This window comes from Homo sapiens, chromosome 19 (assembly GCF_000001405.40).
Source record: "Homo sapiens chromosome 19, GRCh38.p14 Primary Assembly".
Lineage (NCBI taxonomy): Eukaryota > Metazoa > Chordata > Mammalia > Primates > Hominidae > Homo > Homo sapiens.
In genome coordinates, this window is record NC_000019.10 from 11,963,751 (window position 1) to 11,987,324 (window position 23,574).

Genomic DNA, 23,574 nt, shown 5'->3' on the forward strand with positions numbered 1-23,574 from the left:
TCTCCCGGGCTCCGGGCCCTAGATCCGCGCTGCTGTAGAGCCCAGTTCCCAGAGTAGCTCCCTCCACCTGTCCACATCCAGCTCCAGCTCTCCACCCTCTCTCCAGGCCTGGAGTTGCTGCAGTGTCACTGATCAGGGGACCCTCAGCTGCCACCTCCACCGCGATCTGAAAGTCTTTTAAATGCACTTAAGTTATCTTAGAATTTTCCTCGCCCATTTTATACATAAACATAGGAGGAGAGCAGGGGTTTGAGGGTGTTTGTCTCATGGAACTGATCAGTCGGGTGAGAAGTAGCTGAATAACCTGCAGGGGGCAGCAGAGCCCCAGGCCAGTGACTCCACGCCGAGGCCAGTGTGGATCCTGCAAAGGAAGAGAAAGAGAGATTCCCTGGGGTCTTCCCGGGCAGCCCGCCCTCCCCTACAAGTGGCCTCCAGCCGCTCAGAGCAGCTCCAGAAGGAGTGTGGATTCCGAGAAGCTGCAGAGCCCTGGAAAGCAGAAGAGACGTGCAGACGCCTTTGTGGGGTTCTGTCCTTTCTGGTGTTGTACCTCTGGAGCCTGGGGCTGTCTTCTGGGCAGGGTTTGGGGTTTGACACGCATGGGGTCGCTGGAGGCAGAGTTGTTTGTATATATAAAGAGAATGTGTGAATATCAGGCTAGAGACAGAATTGTTTGGGGGCGACACCTGGATAAAGGGTTCATGAAGTTGACAGTTTATTTAGGTCAGAAGGTTAAATTAACCCCAGGTGAGAGTTTCCTGCTGGTGAAAATGAAGATCTGGAAGCAGGGAGCATTTTCACACTGTGAGGAGGGGATGGGGGTGTGTGAGCAAGGCTTGGCCATGCCTCATTCCCAATTCCGGCCCGCTCAAGGACATGTGCCTCTCCTGATGCAGTCGTGCCTGGCCTGGTCTCGGTTCCCCTGCTGCTCTGAGGCCAGCAGATGGCTCCTATGGACACTGAGTCTGAAATTCCCTGCACACTCCTGTGACCCCGTGCAGAACGAAGGAGCGGGGAAAATCCCTTGAGTGAGGAAGACGCTAGTGTTCTCTTATATCTGTAGCAAGTCTGGCTGAAATGCAAATATCCAATAATCAGAGTACAGGAAGCACCTCGCCCTTAGAGAAGCTGTGGCTAGAATCCGTCAAGTCAGTCTGGCTCTGCCGGGCCTGATACCCAAGGCTTCCGCTGTCACTCAGAAGTGAGGGGCGGGGCCTAGCATTCCATCCAATCAGAGGTGCCGGGGCAGGGCCCTGCCCATTGTTTATCCAGGCACAGAGTGGGTCGCATTCCTGTCCTCACCTTTGTCCTTGCGCAGCCGGTGGTTGATATCCGCTGTATCCATCCCCGAGAGGGACCTGGTACCTCTACCCAGGTTTCTATCGCTCTGTCTCCTGCGCTGTGCCCTTCTGTAGTCACAGGAGCTGTAGAGAGGACCCCAGGACATCTGAAAGCCAGGAAATGGTGCGTGTGCATAGCCGGTTGTCCCGAGACGGGGTAGAGGCTGCCTGGAACCGGCCGGAACCGGCTGCGGCGGGACCCGGGCCTCCCTGCGGGCGACTCCAGGGTCTGGGACCGAGTCCTCCTGGAGCTGCTCGGCCCTCGGTCCCCTCGGCCGCTGGATGGGGCTGGGCTGGCAGCCGGGACCCCGGGTGTCCTGTCCTGTCCCTGCGCGGTGACTGCGGCCCCGCCCCGGAGCCCTCTCTGGGCAGTTCCGCGCCCGCAGCCCCGCGTCTCCCCAGATTATGCGGAAGCCACGAGAGGGTCATGGGGGAAATCCTGACTCGTGTGTAGGGTTCGTGCGTGGGAGGAGCAGTGGTCTGTGGGGCCCCCAGTTCCCACTTTCTCCTGTTAAAAATTAAACTGAAGTACATTAACAATTAAAGAGTTCATTTGAGCAAACAGCAATTCAGTAATGAGAACCACCCAGTCCTGGCTTGTGGTTTGTCAACTGAAAAAGCCAAACAATGTAAAATAAAGTTTATTCGTAGCCAAATAGGAGAGACCTTGGCAAGGGAAACACAACCCCAAGAAGCCTATAGTGAGTGGTCCCGAGGCGGCTCAAGACAATTTGGTTTTATTCATTTCAGAGAGACAGGAATTGCAGGGAAAATCATGAATCAGTGCCTGGAAGGTGTAAGTTCCATTGGCAGAAAGGGCGGGACCTGTGGAAGGGGGGTTAGAAGGCACAGGTGGTTGAGGGATTCTGTAGGTGGCAGTTGATTGAGAGTGTGAAGTTTGTCTAAAGTTTGGAGGAGGTAGGAAGGAATGCTGAAGGAAGGGGGTCTGTTATCTGCCACTTGATTCCATCCCAGCCAAAAAACAGACCTGTTTCTCGAGATTTTATGAATTCCAAGGCATGACTTACCCTTACCTTGCGTGGCCTTAGGTCTTGTTTGTAATTTGGTATCTTCTTGCCACAAGGAGTCTGTTTTTCCAGTCAGATAATGTCTGTTTTTACATGAATGTGCGTCAGTTGCTGCATGTAAACTCCTAAAGGGAGAGGGTATAAGGAGACCTGTCTCACCTGCCATCCTGTCATACAGAGGCACTCAATTTTCAGGGTTTTTTGGGGGTTCCCTTGGCCAAGAGCCAGTCACTTCACTTAACTGGGAAGGTACTTTGTTTGTTTTTGTTTTTGTTTGAGACAGAATCTCCTTCTGTCGCCCAGGCTGGAGTGCAATGGCTGGATCTCGGCTCACAGCAGCCTTTGCCTTCTGGGTTCAAGCAATTCTCCTGCCTCAGCTTCCTGAGTAGCTGGGATTACAGACATGCACCACCATGCCTGGCTAATTTTTGTATTTTTAGTAAAGATTGGGCTTCACCATGTTGGCCAGGCTATTCTCAAACTCCTGACCTCAAGTGATCCACCTGCCTCGGCCTCCCAGTGTGCGGGGATTACAGATGTGAGCCACCTCGCCTGGCCGCAAGGTATGTTTTTAAGTTTGCAGGTTGAAGACTGGGCTTTTATAAGGTACATGAGGAGACAAATGAGATAAATGCTTGATTGGTTGCAGAGATGCAGTTGCCTTATTTGGACTTGTCACTCCGAAATAATCGAAAGGTTCAGATTTCAGCTGGAAGAGTTTATTCAAGCAGAAAGATAGCAATGGCCCAAACAGGAAAAACACAGACTCTAGAGAAAAGGACTCAGTCCTCCAAAATTGGAAGTTAAGTTCTGGCTTTATATTACCAGGAAAAGAGGTCCTCATCAGACCCCAAGAGGGTTCTTGGATCTCACACAGGAAGGAATTCAAGACAAGTCGCAATGTACAGTGTGTAGAGAGTTTATTGAAAGCTACTCTGGGCCAGCATGATGGCTTAGGCCTGTAATTCAAGCACTTTTCAAGGCCAAGGCGGGAGGATCACTTGAGGTCAAGAGTTCGAGACCACCCTGGGCAACATAGCGAAACCTCTTCTCTTCCAAAAATAACAAAAATTAACTGGGTGTGGTGGCCTGTGCCTGTAGTCGCAGGTACTTGGGAGGCTTAAGTGGGAGAATCACTTGAACCCAGGAGGCAGAAGTTGCAGCCCAGCCGAGGACTCGCCACTGCACTCCAGTGTGGGTAACAGAGTGAGACCCCATCTCAAAAAACAAAAACAAAATAAACAAGAAAGAGTTGAAGACCAACCTGGCTAACACAGCAAGACCCTGTCTCTATTTTGTTTTTTTTTGAGACGGAGTCTCGCTCTGTTGCCCAGGCTGGAGTGCAGTGGCGCGATCTCGGCTCACTGCAAGCTCCACCTCCCGGGTTCACGCCATTCTCCTGCCTCAGCCTCCCGAGTAGCTGGACTACAGGCACCCGCCACCACGCTCGGCTAATTTTTTGTATTTTTAGTAGAGACGGGGTTTCACCGTGTTAGCCAGGATGGTCTCAATCTCCTGACCTCGTGATCCACCCACCTCGGCCTCCCAAAGTGCTGGGATTACAGGCGTGAGCCACCATGTCCGGCCCCTGTCTCTATTTTTAAAAAAAGAAAAAAGAAAAAGAAGGAATGTTCTCTGTTACAGAGTAGGGCATCCTCATAAAGCAAGTGGAGGAACATACTGTCTAAGTTTTTGTTATGTAGGGGTCTTGTCTATGTAAAGACTAAACTAAGCTGTGCCTACGTGCATGTGGGCTGACAGCGTCACAAAATTTATTACTCTGTTGATTTAAAGAAAACTATCCTTTACCTTTTAGCACACAAGTGCATTAAAACATAACTATAATTATCTTGAAAGCACATACTATTATGAGTATTGGGACATCCGGATGTTCTGTCGTTGTGGGAGTGTAAGGATACTTGCAGGCATCTTCAGGCTGTTTTCTTAATGTCAAACATGTTATGACCATGGGTTGTGACTGGCAAGGAGTGTTTCTTGTTAGTCTCAAGATGGAGCTGATTGGTCTTTCTCTGGCTCCCCTAGGCACTTGCTTCCCTAACACTTATATAGGCAAAAGGCAAATAAATGTAACAGGATTACATTTTCCATAGAAGGCTGATGTATGAGGTACAATAATTTAATTTTTTTTTTTCTTTGAGACAATGTCTAGCTCTGTGGCCCAGGCTGGAGCAGTGGTGCGATCATGGCTTACTGCAGCCTTGACCTCCCCAGCTCAAGCACCTCAGCCTTCCCAGTAGCTGAGAGTACAGTTGCCCACCAGCACACCTGGCTAATTTTTTGTATTTTACAGAGGTGGGGTCTCGATATGTTGCTCAGGCTGGTCTCTTGCTCCTGGCCTCAAACAGTCCTCCTTCCTTGGCCTCCAAAAGTGCTGGGATTATAGACATGAGCAAATGCATGTGGATAACAACTTAATTTGTAGTGGTTTGCTTTTTTCCCCCAGAGCTTGTTTTCTTTTCTTTCTAGCTGGTTTATATTTCCTTTTCAATTTAAAAAAGTGAATTTAATATTCTAGCTGAAGACAACATGATAGCCATGGAGTCTTTGTGTGAGAAAGTTAAGAGGGAAATTAGTGTACTATAGAGATCAGTAGTAGAGAGGGGCCTGGCGGGATGGCTCACACCTGTAACCCCAGCACGTTGGGAGGCCGAGGCAGGTGGATGGCTTGATCTCAGGAGTTGAAGACCAGCCTGGCAACATAGTGAGACCCCATCTCAATTGTGAAAAATCATATTAAATTTAAAAAGACAGTGACAAGGGAAAGGGTCTTTCCTGTTTCCCTTCAGTCATTTACAACATTTTACAAAACACTATAGGTAAGAAAGAAGGCAAATCTGTAATCAGGGAAAGGAGGGTTCCAGCTAGCTAGGTGAAAGTTGTGTGTCATGTGACTCAACCCCATGATCACATTGCTTCAAGATGATGTAGAGATTCATCAGCTTAAATTTTTGAATTACTTGGTTGTTTTTGCTTGTTTGTTTGTTTTGAGACAGGGTCTCACTCTGTCGGCTAGGCTGGAGTGCAGCGGCGTGATCTCAGCTCACTGCAGCCTCTGCCTTCTGGGTTCAAGTAATTCTCTGGCCTCAGCCTTTCCAGTAGCTGGGATTACAGGTGCGTGCCACCACACTCGGCTAATTTTTCTATTTTTAGTAAAGACAGCGTTTTATCACGTTCGCCAGGCTGGTCTTGAACTTCTGTCCTCAAGTGGTCCATCCACCTTGGCCTCCCAAAGTGGTGGGATTACAGGTGGGAGTCACTGCACCGGGCCTGACTTACTTGTTCACACAGCCTATATAGGTAGAAAATTTCTAGTTATGTAATCAGCGGTTAATTGGTGGATTGTGCCTGATTAAGCATAAATTTCATTTCCCTATACATTAGTAATTTTCACGAGTTGTATTTAAATATGATTTCAGGATCCTTAGGTAGGACCTTAGGACACCTCACACAGTTTGGCCTCATTGCTTCTTATTTAAATTTTTTCACATTCTCCAGGGCAACTGGTTTCCCCTTACATTTTCCAAATATATGGGATGCAGCGTCTCAAATCCTCCACCCTCATACCACAGCCTAACTCTTCAAGGGCTTGCAGTGAAATCTGTTTCTGAACATTTCACATGAGAGGAAAGCAGAGAATAACCACTAGACATTTGCCTGAAAAATCCTTTCTGCCTCTCCTCCTTTTATCTTTCCTAGACACAGACACCTTATCAGGATGTCTTTGGGATGAGGTTCCTTTCTGGAAACTTTACAGGGTGATGTGTCTTCAGTACACCCTCCTATCTTTTCCTGGTTTTGGGTTTTAGAATTGCCTGGGGCTGGCTCAAGATCCCCACAACTGCCATGTCTCCTGGAGGGTCTCATGGGTATTAGTGCCTTAGGGGAGTGGGACCTCCCGAGGGAGCAGCTGAATGCCTTATGGTGGAGGAGATGCCTGGTATACTCTTCATCTACATAACCAATTCTTGGGGTGCTCAGCTTCTGTCTCCCAACTCCACTTTCCATTAATTGGAGACACATGGCTGTTCTGCCAATCGGATGTTGCTAATGAGGAAAAACAGAGATGATTCCTGTCCTCTGGATTGTCTCAACTGTGAAGAGAGAAATATCCCAAAAGACAAGGAAAGGCCACTCCAACAAGGATGTATTTAGCTGTCCCACAGGGAGGTGGTCACCAGAATGCAGCTGAGTAAGTCCCATATGTGAGTTAACCACATGGAGGAACTGGGAGGAGGTGGAGAACCAGAAACTGTTCAGAGTTTGAGTAAAGTTTTCTTCTGTTATAACAACGTTAAATCCATAAAGAAAATGCATGCTAAGGTAACATATAAATAAAAGAATTCACTGTAACAGGTAACTCTAGAATTAATTAAATTATTGTATATGGAGATGATGAGTAGTAGATTGATTATTCTCCTGTAGATAACCATTTGTCCCTGCTTTTTCTGTTAAGTGTTCACCACTTGTATCATTGGCTGGCAATACCTGGTTTGTCATAGTTTCATATTACCTTAAATAGATGTCCAGAGCAGGTGCAGTGGCTCACACACTTTGGGAGGCTGAGGCTGGCAGATCACCTAAGGTCAGGAGTTTGAGACCAGCCTGACCAATATAGTGAAACCCCATCTGTACTGAAAATACAGCATTAGCTGAGCATGGCAGCGCATGGCTATAATCCTAGCTACCTGGGAGGCTGAGGCAGGAGAATCGCTTGAACCTGGGAGGTGGAGGTTGCAGTGAGCCGAGATCCCGCCTTTGCCCTCCAGCCTGGGCAAGGAGAGTGAAACCTCATTTCAAAAAATAAAAAAAAAACTAAAAAACTAGATGCCCTGGTCTCACAATTTGCTGTTTTCCATTGGTCTGTCCTTCCATCTCTCTGTTAATACCATTTTCTCTTAATTAGTGTAGAGTTCAAAGCTGCAGTGTATAGTAGGGATATTGCTTCTCTATCTTAGTCATCTTGGGCTGCTACATCAAATTACCATAGACTGGGTAACTTAAAGAATAAACATTTGTTTCTGACAGTTCTTGAGGTTGTGAAGTCCATGTTCAGGGAGTTGGCAGATCTAGTGTCTGGTAATGGCCCGCTTCCTGGTTTGCAGATGGTCATCTTGTGGTTTCTTCACATGACAGAAAAGAGAGGAAGCTGGCTGTCCTGTGTCTTCCTATAAGAGCACTAATCTCATTCGGAAAGCATCTACCTTTATGCTCTCATCTAATCCTAATTAATTCCCAGAGATGTCAACTTCTAATACTATAGTGGGGGGTAGGTTATTAATGTGTGATTTTTTTAGAGTGATGCAAATATTCATGCCGTAACACCCTCCAACCATATTCTATAGAGCATCTTGGCTGTTCTTAGTCATTGTCTTCTATTTCAGTTTTTAGAAGTACTTTTTTCTTAATTTTAGTGAAAAAAACAAACTGCCTTATAAATTTCATGGAATAAAATATAACTGTAGTCGTATTTCAAAGAGGTTACATCATAGTGTTATTTAATCTCCTTTTAAGGACACATGACATTTTTCCATTTATTGCATTTTATATTGATGTTTTTCAGTGTAGACTTTTTGCATAATAATCATTTTATATCCTTCCTGAGACTTTTTTGGGCTTCAAGAAAATTAGTTTTAATAGAAATTTGTGGCCGGGCGCGGTGGCTCACGCCTCTAATCCCAACACTTTGGGAGGCCAATGTGGATGGATAGCCTCAGTTCAGGAGTTTGAGACCAGCCTGACAAACGTGGAGGTTTCCATGTCTACTAAAAATACAAAATTAGCCAGGCGTGGTGGCAGAGGCCTGTAATCCCAGCTACTCAGGAGGATGAGGCAGGAGAATCGCTTGAACCCAGGAGACAGAGATTGCAGTGAGCCAAGATGGTGTCATTGCACTCCAGCCCAGGCAACAAGAGCAAAACTTTGTCTCAAAAAAAAAAAAAAGAAAAGAAAAGAAATTAGTCCAGCCTGGGTAACGTGGCAAACTTTGTCAATACAAAAACATACCTGGTCATGGTGATGTGTACCTGTAGTCCCAGCTACTCAGGAGGCTGAGGTAGAAGGATCTGTTGAGCCTAGGAGTTTGAGGCTGCAGTGAGCTATGATTGCACCACCACACTCCAGCCTGGGCAACAGAATGAGCCTGAGACCCTGTTTCAGAAAAAAAAAGGGAAGAAAAGAAAAAAGAAAAAAATGAGTTTCAATAGAGTATGTTGTCTTTTAAAAATTACATTCAACAGGTTGTGGCTGATAATTGAAATTCACTGAGATTTATTTTTGTATAAAGTGTGCATTCTAGAAACTTAGTAAAAATATTACATATGCACAAAATACATAAAAGAATTGCACAATGAATCCAAATAATGATGGAGCCAGTATTGGGAATAAGATAATTGCCTTACTTTTTATACTTTCACAACCTGGGTATGCATCCCCATCAGTATATTTTATTTTTGCACATTTTTTATGCAAATGATAACCAATGTGTGATATTTTATATTGGATTTTAACTCAGTTATGAACCTTACATGGAATGATAGTTAATTCACTTTCTTATTTCATTGATTTTATTATTTAGAACAGTGGTTGTTTGCCCAAAACGTTGAGCAAATAATCCACAGAGTTCCCACATTTTTCTTCCAAGCTCATAATTCCCCCTGTTTTAAACATCTTGACTGGCCAGATGCTGTGCCTCATACCTGTAATCCTACCACTTAGGGAGGCTGAAGCAAGAGGACAGCTTGAACTGCAGTGTTGGAGTTCAGCCTAGGCAACATAACAAGACCCTGTTTCAAAAAAAAAAAAAATCATTTTAAACCATATTGACTGTGTGTAGTATATCCCACAATTGATGCAAGAATATATTACATGTGAACACGATGGAAATTGAAGAAACCAATATTATTATTACCTAAAGTCCATCTTTTACATTAAACTTCACTCTTTTTGTTCTGTGGTTTAAGACAACTACATGTGTCTTGTATCCACCATCACAGTCTTATACAGAAACGTTTCACTGCCTTCAAAATCCCCTGTGCTCCTCCTAATTCTATCTCTCCCCTCCCTCTTTTGCCACCCCTATTTATCCCTGGCAACAGATGATGATGTTCCTTCCTCTAGAGTTTTGCATTTTCCAGAATATCACATATTTGGAATGATGCTGTAAGTGGCCATTTCAGACTTGCTTCTTTCATGTAAAAATATGCCTTGAAGGTCTCTCGATACCTTTGTTGCTTGACGACTCATTTATTTTTTATTTTTATTTATCTAAAAAAATTTTGTTTTGTGAGAGACAGGGTCTCAAACTCCTCAGCTCAGGTGATTCTCCCACCTCAGCTTCCCAGAGTGCTGGGATTCCTCTTGTGAGCCACCACGTTCGGCCACTCATTTTCTTTCATCACTAACATTCCATTCTATGGGTGTTACCATAGTTTGTTTCTTTATTCACCTATTGAAAGGCTCATCCTGAGCCTGGTGTGATGCCTCATCCCTGAATTCCCAGCATATGGGAGACTGAAGTGAGAAGATTGCTTGAGGCCATCAGTTAGAGACCAGCCTGGTAGATACAGTGTGAGACCTTGTTAATTTTTTTTTTTTTTTTTTAAAGACTCACCTTGTTTGATTCTAGTTTTTGGCAGTTATGAGTAAGGCTGCTAAAAATGTTTGTGGGAGGACTTTTGTGTGAACATCAGTGTTCAGTTCATTTAGGTTAATATGTAGGATTGAGACTACTGAATCAGTAAGACCATGCTTATTTTCTTCAGAGCTCCACAGACTGTCTTCCAAATTGGCTGTAGAATTTTCCATTCACATCCATAGTGAAGGAGAGTTCACTGTCTCCAGCATTTGGAAGTGTCAGTGTTTGGGATTTAGGCTACCCCACCAGGTGTTTGCTGGTGCCTCATTGTTTTCTTTCTTTCTTTCTTTCCTTCTTTCTTTTCTTTCTTTCTTTCTTTCTTTCTTTCTTTCTTTCTTTCTTTCTTTCTTTCTTTCTTTTCTTTCTTTCTTTCTTTCTTTCTTTCTTTCCTTCCTTCCTTCCTTCCTTCTTTCTTTCTTTCTTTCTCTCTTTTTTTTTGTTTTTTGTTTTGTGTCTAGTTCTTGTTACCTAGGCTGGAGTGCAATGGCATGATCTCAGCTCACTGCTGCCTCTGCCTCCCAGGTTGAAGCAATTCTCCTGACTCAGCCTCCCAAGTAGCTGGGATTACAGGCGTGGTCCTCCACTCCTGATAAATTTTTGTATTATTAGTAGAGATGACATTTTACCATGTTGGCCGGGGTGGTCTCAAATTTCTGACCTCAGGTGATCCACCCGCCTTGGCCTCCCAAAATGCTCAATTATAGGTGTGAGCCACTGCCCCTGGCCTGTTTTAATTTACTCTTTAATAACATGCAATGTTGAGCATCCCGTCATATGTTTGTTTGACATAATTACATTCTTTAGGGGGAGGTATAGTTGGAAATATTTTGCCTTTTTTTGGGCGGGGGGGTGGGGTGTAATCTGGCTCTGTCGCCCAGGCTGGAGTGCGGGGGCATGATCTCAGCTCACTGCAACTTCCACCTCCCAGATTCAAACAATTCTCCCACCTCAGCCTCCCAGGTAACTGGGACTACAGGCACATGCCACCACACCTAGCTAATTTTTGTATTTTTAGTAGAAATGGAGTTACACCATGTTGGCCAGGCTGATCTTAAACTGCTGACCTCAAGTGATACGCCTGCCTTGGCCTTGCAAGGTGCTGGGATTACAGGCATGAGCCACCACACCTGGCTGCTACCATGATTGATTTTCATTACTTACTGTGAAACAAAACTTAAAACCTATCAGCTTAAGGAATTTTACATGTACAGTTGAGATAGTTGGAGAAATCTACATAAGTTCTCTAAGATGAATTCTATTGTGTTCTGCCTTTTGCAATTATCCTGATGTTTCTTGCATGTCATAGTACGGGCCAAGATGTTATTTTCTTTTTTTTTTTTCTCGTTGAGACTGAGTGTTACTGTTGTTGCCCAGGCTGGAGTGCAATGGTGGAATGTCAGCTCACCACAACCTCCGCCTCCCGGGTTCAAGCGATTCTCCTGCCTCAGTTCTCCTGAGTAGCTGAGATAAAACGCATGTTTAGTAAAGATGGGGTTTCTCCATGTTGGTCAGGCTGGTCTCGAACTCCCAACCTCAGATGATTTCCGCCCCACCCACACCCCCCAAAGTTCTGGGATTACAGGTGTGAGCCACTGCACCCGGCCAAGATGTTATTGATTTTTTTTTTTATTTTATTATTATTTTTTGAGACAGAGTCTTGCTCTGTCGCCCAGGCTGGACTGCAGTGGCGCAATCTCGGCTCACTGCAAGTTCCGCTTCCCGGGTTCACGCCATTCTCCTGCCTCAGCCTCCCGAGTAGCTGAGACTACAGGCGCCCGCCACCGCGTCCAGCCAATTTTTCGTATTTTTAGTAGAGACAGGGTTTCACTGTGTCGATCTCCTGACCTCGTGATCCGCCCGCCTCGGCCTACCAAAGTGTTGGGATTACAGGCGTGAGCCACCGCACCCCGGCCTTTAAGATGTTACTTTCTAAGACTAAATAATATCCCATTGTATGTGTATGCTTACTACATTTTGTTTATCCATTCAGTCATCAGTGGATATGTGGGTGGCTGCACTGCTCATTACTGCCACCCCAGGAAGGTTGTATAGTGGTTAAATCTATGCTTATTACACCTGGATATATACACCTGGATATAAACTGGAGTTTCTTGTTTGCCCTCTTGTGTACTTACAGTGCCAGGTTTTTCTTAGGAATGTCCCATCTGCCCTTGTTATCAGCATCTATCTAGCTACACTCTGACAGGATAACTGCAAACTGAATGATTCCTGGGCATCATAATGGATGTTTCTTTCTACTTAGGTGTCTCCCCTCCTCTCTGCTTCTATCTAGCATGCCGGATTTGGGTGGTCCCTGGGGTGTGGGATGTCCCAGGGACTCTCTCTCCTGCTCTTGGGTAGCTATCTGCCTTCTCTAACAATGTCATCAAAGATTACACTTTGGGAACAGGCATTTTCAAGGATACACAGCCTCAGGACTGCTAATGTTAACTTTTTTCTGCATATTAATTCATAGGACTCTATTACGACAGGTGCTACAGACCCACAGTTCAAAGAGACAGTAGGGACAGCCCAGGCAGCTCCCTTTTCTCCTTAGATTCAGTGAATGCACACATTTTCCCAACCCACTGTGGCTTTACCCCTTGTTGAGTTCTAGCATCACAATTGCTTTATGAACCAGCCGAGCATGGTGGCACATGCCTGTGGTCTCAGCTACTCAGGAGGTTGAGTCATAAGAATTGCATGAACTCAGGAGGAAGAGGTTGTAGTAAGCCAATATTGTGCCACTGCACTCCAGCCTGGGCAGCAGAACAAGACTCTGTCTCAAAAAAAAAAAAAAAAAAAAAAAATTGCTGGCCAGGTGTGGTGGCTCATGCCTGTAATTTCAGCACTTTGGGAGGCCGAGGCTGGCGGATCACCTGAGATCAGGAGGTCAAGACCAGCCTGACCAACATGGAGAAACCCTGTCTCTACTAAAAATACAAAATTAGCCGGGTGTGGTGGCGCATGCCTGTAATCCCAGCTACTCGGGAGGCTGAGGCAGGAGAATCGCTTGAACCCCGGTCATGAGCCAAGATCGCATCATTATACTCCAGCCTGGGCAACAAGTTGTTGTTTTGAAAATCCATCTCAAAACAACAACAACAAAAATGCTTTATGGAAGAAAGTACAGAAAGCGAGAAAGGGATGTGATGACCAAAGCAGGGAATAAATGTTTGGAGTCCACGGCAACTTCTTGGGAATAGAGTCTAGGCCCCCACTGCTGTCACTCTCACCCAGCCTCCTCTACACATGTGAGATGTTTCAGGACCCTGTGGCCTGTGAGGATGTTGCTGTGAACTTCACCCAGGAGGAGTGGGCTTTGCTGGATATTTCGCAGAGGAAACTCTACAGGGAAGTGATGCTGGAAACTTTCAGGAACCTGACCTCTATAGGTAAGGATGACAATATTCCTTCCCTCAGTCCATTAGTGAACCAGTGTTTCTAGCTCATGAATGCTGTTGAGTCATTTGGAACATAGACAGGAAATACTTTGATGAATAAATGAGGCATGGCTGCAGTAAATCATAGACATAGAATCTAATAATTTTTTCACAGTTTTATATTGCTTCAGGACTACTTTTCTGTGTCTGTATTTTAGGGAAAAAGTGGAAAGACCAGAACATTGAATATGAGTACCAAAACCCCAGGAGAAACTTCAGGTAATTGGCACTTAAAGAGAAAGCAGTGTCTCTAGATGATTTTAGTATATGATAATATGTTGAAGAGAAGTAAAACAAAGAACTAAGTCCAGTATCAAATTCATCTCTTCTTAGAATATTTTCTCAAAATCATATATTTACATGTGACTAAGTCTGAGGGCTCACTCCTGTAATCCCAATCCTTTGAGAAGTGGAGATAGGAGGATAGCTTGAGGCCAGCAGTTCAAGAACAGCCTGGGCAACATAATGAGACCACAAATCAACAACAGCAAAAAATTAGCTGGGCATTGTGGTATGCATCGTAGTCCTAGCTACTCAGGAGGCTGAGGCAGAAGGATCACTCAAGCCCCCAGGAGTTAAAGGCTGTGGTAAGCAATGATGATATCACTGTACTCCAGGATGGTCACAGGATGAGACCCTGACTCGAAAGAAAAATCACACAGAGTATTTAGTACTTGTAAAATAGTTTACATGGGAATAGTATTAAGCCCCTTATGAGTATTTTTTTAAACAATAGGTATGACTATGTCACCTTGTAGAACATGTTGTCCATTTACCTTCAAACAATTCAGCCAGGGCAGAAAGCCTACACCTTGATGGACCATGTTAAAAATGCAAGTGCAATACTTGATTAATACAAAATTACTCATAAACCCTTCATAATGTGCTTCTCACTTTTGACAGGAGTCTCATAGAAGGGAATGTCAATGAAATTAAAGAAGACAGTCATTGTGGAGAAACTTTTACCCAGGTTCCAGATGACAGGCTGAACTTCCAGGAGAAGAAAGCTTCTCCTGAAGCAAAATCATGTGATAACTTTGTATGTGGAGAAGTTGGCATAGGTAACTCATCTTTTAATATGAACATCAGAGGTGACATTGGGCACAAGGCATACGAGTATCAGGACTATGCACCAAAGCCATATAAGTGTCAACAACCTAAGAAAGCCTTCAGATATCACCCCTCCTTTAGAACACAAGAAAGGAATCACACCGGAGAGAAACCCTATGCTTGTAAAGAATGTGGAAAAACCTTTATTTCCCATTCAGGCATTCGAAGACGCATGGTAATGCACAGTGGGGATGGACCTTATAAATGTAAGTTTTGTGGGAAAGCTGTCCATTGTCTCAGATTATATCTTATCCATGAAAGAACTCACACTGGAGAGAAACCGTATGAATGTAAACAATGTGTTAAATCCTTTAGTTATTCTGCTACCCATCGAATACATGAAAGAACTCACACTGGAGAAAAGCCTTATGAATGTCAGCAATGTGGGAAAGCATTCCATAGTTCCAGTTCTTTTCAAGCACATAAAAGAACCCACACTGGGGGAAAGCCATATGAATGTAAACAATGTGGCAAATCCTTCAGTTGGTGTCATTCCTTTCAAATACATGAAAGAACTCACACTGGGGAGAAGCCCTGTGAATGTAGCAAATGTAATAAAGCATTCCGTAGTTACAGATCCTATCTTAGACATAAAAGGAGTCACACGGGAGAGAAGCCTTATCAATGTAAGGAATGTAGAAAAGCATTCACGTATCCCAGTTCCCTTCGTAGACATGAAAGGACCCACTCTGCGAAAAAACCTTATGAATGTAAGCAGTGTGGGAAAGCATTATCTTATAAGTTTTCAAACACACCTAAGAATGCGCTCTGGAGAAAGACCTTATAAATGTTAGATATGTGGGAAAGGCCTTTATTCTGCCAAGTCATTTCGAAGACATGAAAAAACTCACACTGGAGAGAAACCCTATAAATGCATGCCATGTGGTAAAGCCTTCAATCTTTCCAGTTCCTTTCAGTATCATGAAAGGACTCACACTGGAGAGAAACCCTATGAGTGTAAGCAATGTGGGAAAGCCTTCAGATGTGCCCCACACCTTCGAAGGCATGGTAGGACTCACTGGAGAGAAACCCTATGAGTGTAAGGAATGTGGGAAAGCCTTCAGATCTGCCTCACACCTTCAAATTCATGAAAGGACACAAACACACATAAGAATACACTCTGGAGAAAGACCTTATAAATGTAAGACATGTGGGAAAGGCTTTTATTCTCCCACGTCATTTCAAAGACATGAAAAAACTCACACTGCAGAGAAACCCTATGAATGCAAGCAATGTGGTAAAGCCTTCAGTAGTTCCAGTTCCTTTTGGTACCATGAAAGGACTCACACTGGAGAGAAACCCTATGAGTGTAAGCAATGTGGGAAAGCCTTCAGATCTGCCTCAATCCTTCAAATGCATGCTGGGACTCACCCTGAAGAGAAGCCCTACGAGTGTAAGCAATGTGGGAAAGCCTTCAGATCTGCCCCACACCTTCGAATCCATGGTAGAACTCACACTGGAGAGAAACCCTATGAGTGTAAGGAATGTGGGAAAGCCTTCAGATCTGCCAAGAACCTTCGAATTCATGAAAGGACACAAACACACGTAAGAATGCACTCTGTAGAAAGACCTTATAAATGTAAGATATGTGGGAAAGGCTTTTATTCTGCCAAGTCATTTCAAATACCTGAAAAATCTTACACTGGAGAGAAACCCTATGAGTGTAAGCAATGTGGGAAAGCCTTTATTTCTTTCACTTCTTTTCGATAACATGAAAGGACTCACACTGGAGAGAAACCCTATGAGTGTAAGCAATGTGGAAAAACCTTCAGATCTACCTCACACCTTCGAAAACATGGTAGGACTCACACTGGATAGAAACCAAAGCAGGTGAATCACCTGAGGTCAGGAGTTCAAGACTGGCCTGATCAATATGATGAAACCCCTGTCTCTACTAAAACTACAAAAATTGGCCAGGCGTGGTGGCCTGCTTCTGTAATCCTAGCTAGTTGGGAGGCTGGCACAGGAGAATCGCTTGAATCTGGGGGGCAGAGGTTGCAGTGAGCCAAGATTGTGCCATTGCACTCTAGCCTGGGCAACAGGAGCAAAACTCCGTCTCAAAAAAAAAAAAAAAAAAGACTTGGCCTTGTGGTGAGGGGATGTCAGCTCTAGACTCCTGGAGCTGTTTTTGCCTTATTCTCTAAAGACTAAAATATTTCATAAAATGTATGGGTGCTGTTTACCAGAAAGTACGTTGGGTAAAACATAGAAATTCATTTATACCTTAGAAAGCTATTTTTTTCAGGTTGGTTTAGTGAGTCACAGGAAGCTAATAAATTACAATAATAATGTAAATTGTCTAAATACAGCCTTTTCTTTCTCTGATAATGTGCTGTTGATACTAACTTGTCAACAGCCTGTTTATTTCAGCCATGTAAAGTTAATGGCAACATGGAAAAGTCACTTTTATATGTTATGCAATGGCATGGAAAAATTCATTTTCATTAAGGTTCCAATGAAGCTGCTCTTCAGAAACGCTTATTTAAAACTCCCTAAGGTCAAAGTCCAGGCATCACGGGATGCAGCATCAATCACTGACCAAACCCTGTCTGTGTGTGGAGATGACATACCCAGTCCCAGATAATGTATCCACATCAGTGAAGGGTGGAATCATTGATTGTCAGATCACACAGCATGATTCACAGCAGGGAAGACAGGGCAGTGACAGAGGTGGGGGCACCTGAGCAGGTACGGTGGCTCACACCTGTAATCTTAGCACTTTGGGAGGCCAAGGAGAGTGGATCACTTGAGGTCAGGAGTTCAAGACCAGCCTGGCCAACATGGTGAAACCTTAAGAAATAGATAAATTAGCTGGGCATCGTGGTGTAATCCCTGTAATCCCAGATACTCAGGAGGCTGAGGCAGGAGAATCGCTTGAGCCTGGGAGGTGGTTGTTACACTGAACTGAGATCACACCATTGCACTCTCCAACCTAGTCGACAGAGCAAGACTCTGTCTCAAAATGAAAAAAACAAGAGTTGGGTGCACCTGAATCCAACCCCTGCCTTATCCTCCCTTGAAGGCCAAATACACCCTGACACTTTTAACCAAACAGTAGAAACAACACCATCCACTTGACCCCAAATGTGACTTTCCACAGGATGCAAGCACAATGTTGGAATGGCCAATGACAGTGACAATGAAAGTGCAGGGTGAGGGTGATGAACAGGACACACTGGAGAGCCTGACATTGGCCTAGACTATGGAGGTGTCTTGATGTTTCACAAAAAGCCCAAGGACCAACCCAAAGAGACACTGGAGCACAGGCCCAAAGGGTGTTCATATGCCAGGAAGGCTACTAATTTTAGAAGGCAGTGATGGTGCCTGTTTGAGTCCGGATGCTTTATAACTTCTGCTTTTCTGCATCTGCTTAGACAAAGAAATCTGCAGTTTTTGAGTTTCAGTGTTTAGAAGTAAGTTATTTTAGCAATCTACACACTTGTGGTTTATTCTGAGCTAACTTCAGACACACAGCTACAGATAGGGAATATCACGAGTATTTCCAAGGCTAAAAGTCTTCATGAAGTCAGTGGGACCCTCTCATGGGAGGGTTTTAAGACCCACAATCAAAAAGGTGGGGAAACATTAGAGTGGAAAGAGGGCAGCAGGTCAGGGGCCTTCCCCAGAGGTCTAACACACCCAACATTATTACCCTGGATGAAAACCAATACATATCATAACACCACACACACTCTTCAATGTTTCACAGACAAAATGAAATGTATTCAAAGCTAAGCTTCCAGAATTCCACTTTACACAATAAGGTTTTAATATCACTCTGTGTTGATGTTAGGCAATTACTAAATAGCATTTTCTGGTTATCTATGGAAAATACCTTGATTTCTGGGATATGAAAATGCTCATTTTTAGATATGCTTGTTTTTGAACTTTTTTTAATAAAATAAGGTGAGAAAACAGGAAAAAAATTTTCAGATCAAGGAACTTAGGCGAATTAATAGGAGAAAAGTCATACAAATTTATTTAACATGTATATATGGGAGCCTTCAGAATGAGGACCCACCCAACAATAAGACAAAAAAGCTTACATACCATTCTGAGGCCAGGAAAAATGCAGACTTGGCATGGCCAAAAAAATTCCAGGTTTGGTGGGGAAGTCATTTTTAATGGCAAGACAGATTATGCTAAAGGAAAGGAAGAAGCTTGGCTAGCAAAGGAGACCTTGTTATGTAGATGAAGGCTCCCTCAGAGAGAATAGGTGGGAAATGCTGCTTTTCAGACTTTTATTTAGAATTTTAAGTAATAGAGTCAGGATTATGCTGTGTTGCCCAGGCTGTTCTCTAATTCTTTGTCTCAAGCAGTCCTCACAGCTCAGTCTCCCAAAGTGCTAGGATTCCAGGCATGAGTCACCATGTCCAGACAGGGTTTGTCCCCTTGTAAAGAATTATTCATTGCTGGGCACAGTGATTCACAGTGACGTCTGCCTGGCATCTGCCTGTAAAGGAAGCATGGCACCAGCATCTGCTCAGCTTCTGGTGAAGGCCTCAGGAAGCTTTCAATCATAGCGGAAGGTGAACGGGGAGCAGGCAGTCACATGGCGAAAGCAGGAGTGAGACAGAGAGAGTGGTGTAGGAAGGTGCAGCTCACTAGAACTCACTGATTATCACAAAGACAGCAACAAGCCATGAGAGAAACAAGCCATAGGTCCCCCTGACCCAAACAACTCCCATCAGGACTCACCTCCAACACTGGGGATTGCAGTTCCTCATGACATTGGGTGGGAACATACATTCAAACTATCACGTGACAATATTACTTCCCTCAGTTTATTAAAGAACAAGTGTTTCTAGCTCTTCAGTGCTGTTCAGTGATTTGGAATATGGACAGGGAAAACTTTGATAAATCAGGAATGGCTGCAGTGAGCCATGAACATAGAATCTAATAATTTTTAAACTAATTTTATAATAGCTGGGCATGGTGGCTCATGCCTGTGGTTCTAGCACTTTGAGAGGCCAAGGTGGGTGGATGACTTGAACCCAGGAGTCTGAGAACAGCCTGGGCAACATGGTGAAACCCTATCTCTACAAACTTTTTAGCCAGGATGGTGACATGCACCTGTAATCCCAGCTACTTGAGAGGCTGCAGTAGGAGAATCACCTGAACCCAAGAGGTTGAGGCTGCAGTGAGCTGTGATCATGCCATTGCACTCCAGCCTGGGTGATAGAGTGAGACCCTCATCTCCAAAAAAAACCCCATAATTTTATAATCAGGACTATTTTTTATGGATCTGTATTTTAAGAAAAAAATGGAAAGACCAGATCATTGAAGATCAGTACAAAAATCTCAGGAATAATCTAAGGTAAGTTTCCCTCACAAGATAAAGCATTCTCTCTCTAGAAAATCTTATACTGCCTGAAAATGTTTTGGTTTTTTTGGAGACAAGAGTTTCACTCTTGTTGCCCAGACTGGAGTGCAATGGCTCAATCGCGGCTCATCGCAACCTCCGCCTCCCAGGTTCAAGTGATTCTCCTGCCTCAGCCTCCCAAGTAGCTGGGATTACAGGCGCCCACCACCACGTCTGGCTAATTTTGAATTTTTAGTAGAGATGGGGTTACTCCATGTTGGTCGGGCTGGTCTCGAACTCCTGTCCTCAGGTGATCCGCCTGGCTTGGCCTCCCAAAGTGCTGCAATTACAGGCGTGAGCCATTGTGCCCGGCTGAAAATGTTTAAAATATGCAAATAAAAGAAATAAGACCAGCATCACATTTATTTACTCTTAGAAAATTTTCTCTAAAAACATAATATTTAAATGTGACATAGGCTAGGCACAGTGGCTCACACCTCTACTCCCAGCCCTTTGGGAGACCAAAGCCAGATGATTGCTTGAGGCTAGGAGTGAGACCAGCCAAGGCAACATGGTGATACATCACCTCATTAACAAAAAATGTTAGCTGCGCATGGTGGCACTTGCCTGTAGTTCCTGCTATTTGGGAGGCTGAGGCAGGAGGATGGCTTGAGCCCAGGAATTCCAAGCTACCATGAACCATGCTCAATTAGACCCCTGCCTTATCACAAGGACAGAGGGCTTTCTGTATCCTAAGGTTCTTGCCTTGGTATACTGGAAGAATTGTATCACACGTGGGCTTGGAGAATGAGTGCAAGTTTTTTCTTTTTTTTTCTGAGAAAGGGTCTCACTCTTGTCGCCTAGGCTGGAGTGCAGTGGCCTGATCTCGGCTCACTGCAACCTCCACCTCCCAGGTTCAGGTGATTCTCCTGCCTCAGCCTCCTGAGTAGCTGGGATTACAGGCACCTGCCACCATGCCCAGCTAATTTTTGTACTTTTAGTAGAGATGGGGTTTTGTCATGTTGGCCAGGATGGTCTGCAACTCCTGACCTCAGGTTATCCCCCCATCTACGCCTCCCAAAATGCTGGGATTACAGATGTGAGCCACTGCGCCCGGCCGAAAATGCGAACTTTCTCCTTTGGGTACTACCATTTTGGTGGGCATCAGATCCATGCCCGAGCTCTGTGGGCGCTGCTGCCTCTCTCCACCTCAGGCACCACATCCCAGGAGCCCCAATCCCACTGCCTGGCTTGTGCTTTAGAACAGCTGCTGCTGCAGGGCCCTCAGCTGCCACTACCAAGTTGCGATTTAGAAGTCTTTTAATGCATTTAAATATCTTAGAATTTGTCTTCCCCACTTTATACACACAATCATGAGGAGAGCAGGGACTCTATTGGTGTCTTATTCACACAGTGGGATTGAGGGTGTTTGTCTCATGAAACTGATCAATGAAGTGAGAAACAGCTGAATAACCTACAGGGGGCAGCAGAGCCTGAGGCCAGTGTGGGCCTGCAAAGGAAGGGAAAGGGAGTTCCTTGGGGGCTTCCGGGGCTCCCCGCCTTCCCCTGCAGGTGGCCTCCAGCTGCCCAGAACAGCTGCAGAGAGTGTGGATTCTGAGAAGCTGCAGGGCCCTGGAAAGCAGGAGACCCACGTGCAGGTGCGCTTAGGGGGTTCCATCCTTTCTGAGGTTGCCCTTCTGGAGCCTGGGGCCATTTTCTGGGAAGTGTTTTGGTTTTGACATGTATAGGGTCGCTGGGGTCAGAATGTAATTGTTACATATGAAGAAAATCTGTGAAGGTCAGCCTCAGTGAGACTTGTTGGGTTTGTCTTATAACAGGGTTTATGAAATTGACAGTTTATTTAGGTCAGAGCTTAAATTATCACCAGGTGAGAGTTTCCTGCTGAGGAAAATGAAGATCTGGAAGGAGAGAGCATTTCTACACTGTGAGGGGGCGCGGAGTGGGGGTGAGGGGAGCGAAGATGAGGATGCTTTGGCTTTGCCTCATCTGCATTTCTGGCTCTCTGGAGGACATCTGCTTCTCCCTCCTGGTGTGGTCATTCTTGGCCTGGTCTGGGTTCCCTTCCTGCTCTGAGGCAAAGGGGGTGGCTTTGTGGGGGCAATAGGCCCTTGGTGTCTGTCCTAAAGGTTTGCTGAAAACTCATTGACATGAGGCAGTTGGAGTAACTCTGAAAAGGCATACAAATTTATTTAGTGTATACACACAAGAGCCTTCAGAATGAAGACTCCCCAGCAATAACACAGAAAAGCTTATATACCATCCTGAGGACAGCAAAGAATGCAGACTCATTATGGTCCAAAAATCACATGTTATGTTGGCAAATCGGATGTAGTGGCAAGACATCTTCTGAGAGAGGGAAAGAAAGGGGCTTGGCTAGCAAAGATGGACTGTTATATAAATGAAGCCTCTCACAGAGAGAAGAGAAATGCTTCTTTTCCAACTTTTTAACATTTTTCTTTTTATTTGGATACTTAAATAATGAAGGTGGGAGTCTCCCTGTGTTGACCAGGCCTTCAACTCCTTGCTTTAAGGCAGGGATGTCCAATCTTTTGCCTTCCCTGGGCCACACTGAAAGAAGAATTGTCTTGGGCCACACATAAAACAAAGCTGATGAGCTAAAAAAAAAAAAAGAAAAAAGAAAAAAGAAAAGAAAGAAAAAAAATCGCAAAAAAACTGTATTTTTTTTTTTTAGCCAGAGTCTCACTCTGTCGCCCACACTGGAGTGTAGTGGTGTAATCTTGGCTCACTGCAACCTCCACCTTCGGGTTCAAGCGATTCTCCTGCCTCAGCCTCCTGAGTACCTGGGACTACAGACGCCTGCCACCACACCTGGCTAATTTTTGTATTTTTAGTAGAGATGGGGTTTCACATATTGGCCAGGCTGGTCTTGAACTCCTGACCTTGTAATCTGCCTGCCTCGGCCTCCCAAAGTGCTGGGATTACAGGCGTGAGCCACAGTGCACGGCAGAAAATCGCAAAAAAAATTTTTAAATATTTTAAGAAAGTTTACTAATTTGTGTTGGGCTGTATTCAAAGCCGTCCTTAGCCCGCAGGCCATAGGTTGGACAAGCTTGCTTTAAGGGATCCTCCAGCCTCGGCCTCCGGAATTGCTGGGATAGGAGGCGTGAGTCACGGCTTCCTACCTGTGTTCAGGTTTTAAAGACGTCAGACCCCGAATCTCTACTAGTTCCAGTGAAGGGAAATAAGCAGGGAGGAGGCCATGGCTTTGTTAACGGAGATTCTCCGCAGATGCGCATTTTCCTCCCAAAGGCACCTTTGCAAGACCACACTGTTGGCCAAGCGGCCACGATTTCAAAATATGTCAAAGGAGTAACCGGGCGCGGTGGCTCACGCCTGTAATCCTAGCACTGTGGGAGGCTGGGGCGGATCGCTTGAGCTCAAGAGTTCGAGACCAGCCTGGCTGAAACCCCGTCTCTACTAAAAATACAAAAATTAACAGGGGTGGTGGAGCACACCTGTAGTCCCAGCTACTAGGGAGGCTGAGACAGTAAAATCGCTTAAACCCAGGAGGTGGAGATTGTCGTGAGCCAGGATAGCGCCACTGCACTCCAGCTTGGGTGACAAAGTGAGACCCAGTGTCAAAAAAAAAAAAAAAAAAAAGTCAAATATATTTTGGAGTAAAAAAATTTAATTTCCTTCACCTCCGTTGGACTCTTGA

General features: G+C 44.8%; 2 protein-coding genes across 5 annotated transcripts in view, besides 3 other annotated features; both read left to right on the top strand.

Moving 5' to 3' along the window:
* ZNF69 (zinc finger protein 69) overlaps window positions 1-16,472 on the top strand; it is a 92,441-nt gene extending 75,969 nt beyond the window's left edge. Inside the window, exon 5 of the mRNA XM_017027231.2 lies at window positions 16,291-16,472. Within this exon, the coding sequence (XP_016882720.1) occupies window positions 16,291-16,292 (2 nt within the window). The 3' untranslated portion in view covers window positions 16,293-16,472. The remainder of the gene's footprint in view (window positions 1-16,290) is intronic.
* Window positions 418-1,371: an enhancer, noted in NCBI's record as "H3K27ac-H3K4me1 hESC enhancer chr19:12074983-12075936 (GRCh37/hg19 assembly coordinates)". NCBI's record gives its function as "activates a minimal SCP1, AML or CMV promoter by ChIP-STARR-seq in primed H9 embryonic stem cells {active_cell/tissue: H9 hESC(primed)}" and the evidence as "EXISTENCE:reporter gene assay evidence [ECO:0000049][PMID:30033119]".
* Window positions 1,064-1,358: an enhancer, noted in NCBI's record as "tiled region #6121; K562 Activating non-DNase unmatched - State 8:EnhW, and HepG2 Activating DNase unmatched - State 4:PromP". NCBI's record gives its function as "activates a minimal TATA promoter and a strong SV40 promoter by Sharpr-MPRA in K562 cells, with weaker activation in HepG2 cells {active_cell/tissue: HepG2 | K562}" and the evidence as "EXISTENCE:reporter gene assay evidence [ECO:0000049][PMID:27701403]".
* ZNF763 (zinc finger protein 763) lies at window positions 1,290-16,867 on the top strand. 4 transcript variants are annotated; one of them, NM_001367173.2, is made up of 4 exons: window positions 1,290-1,461; window positions 13,260-13,414; window positions 13,621-13,681; window positions 14,366-16,867. In NM_001367173.2, the coding sequence occupies exons 2-4, from the start codon at window positions 13,279-13,281 to the stop codon at window positions 15,357-15,359; spliced, it is 1,191 nt and encodes a 396-aa protein (NP_001354102.1). In that variant the 5' UTR covers window positions 1,290-1,461; window positions 13,260-13,278; the 3' UTR covers window positions 15,360-16,867. The 4 variants fall into 4 exon arrangements, with proteins under 4 accessions (NP_001354102.1, NP_001012771.1, NP_001354101.1 ...); NM_001012753.2 differs by having other exon boundaries at window positions 13,279-13,414; NM_001367172.2 differs by having other exon boundaries at window positions 13,288-13,414.
* Window positions 1,510-1,709: a silencer, noted in NCBI's record as "silent region_10136". NCBI's record gives its function as "represses an Ori minimal core promoter by ATAC-STARR-seq in GM12878 lymphoblastoid cells {active_cell/tissue: GM12878}" and the evidence as "EXISTENCE:reporter gene assay evidence [ECO:0000049][PMID:35858748]".
* Window positions 16,868-23,574: the final 6,707 nt, after the last annotated feature.

Bases quoted from the DNA above. Each gene is read 5' to 3' on its own strand.
- ZNF763 (NM_001012753.2), top strand. The intron at 13,415-13,620 runs GTAAGGATGACA...TCTGTATTTTAG, and splicing joins CAGGAACCTGACCTCTATAG to GGAAAAAGTGGAAAGACCAG. The intron at 13,682-14,365 runs GTAATTGGCACT...CACTTTTGACAG, and splicing joins AACCCCAGGAGAAACTTCAG to GAGTCTCATAGAAGGGAATG.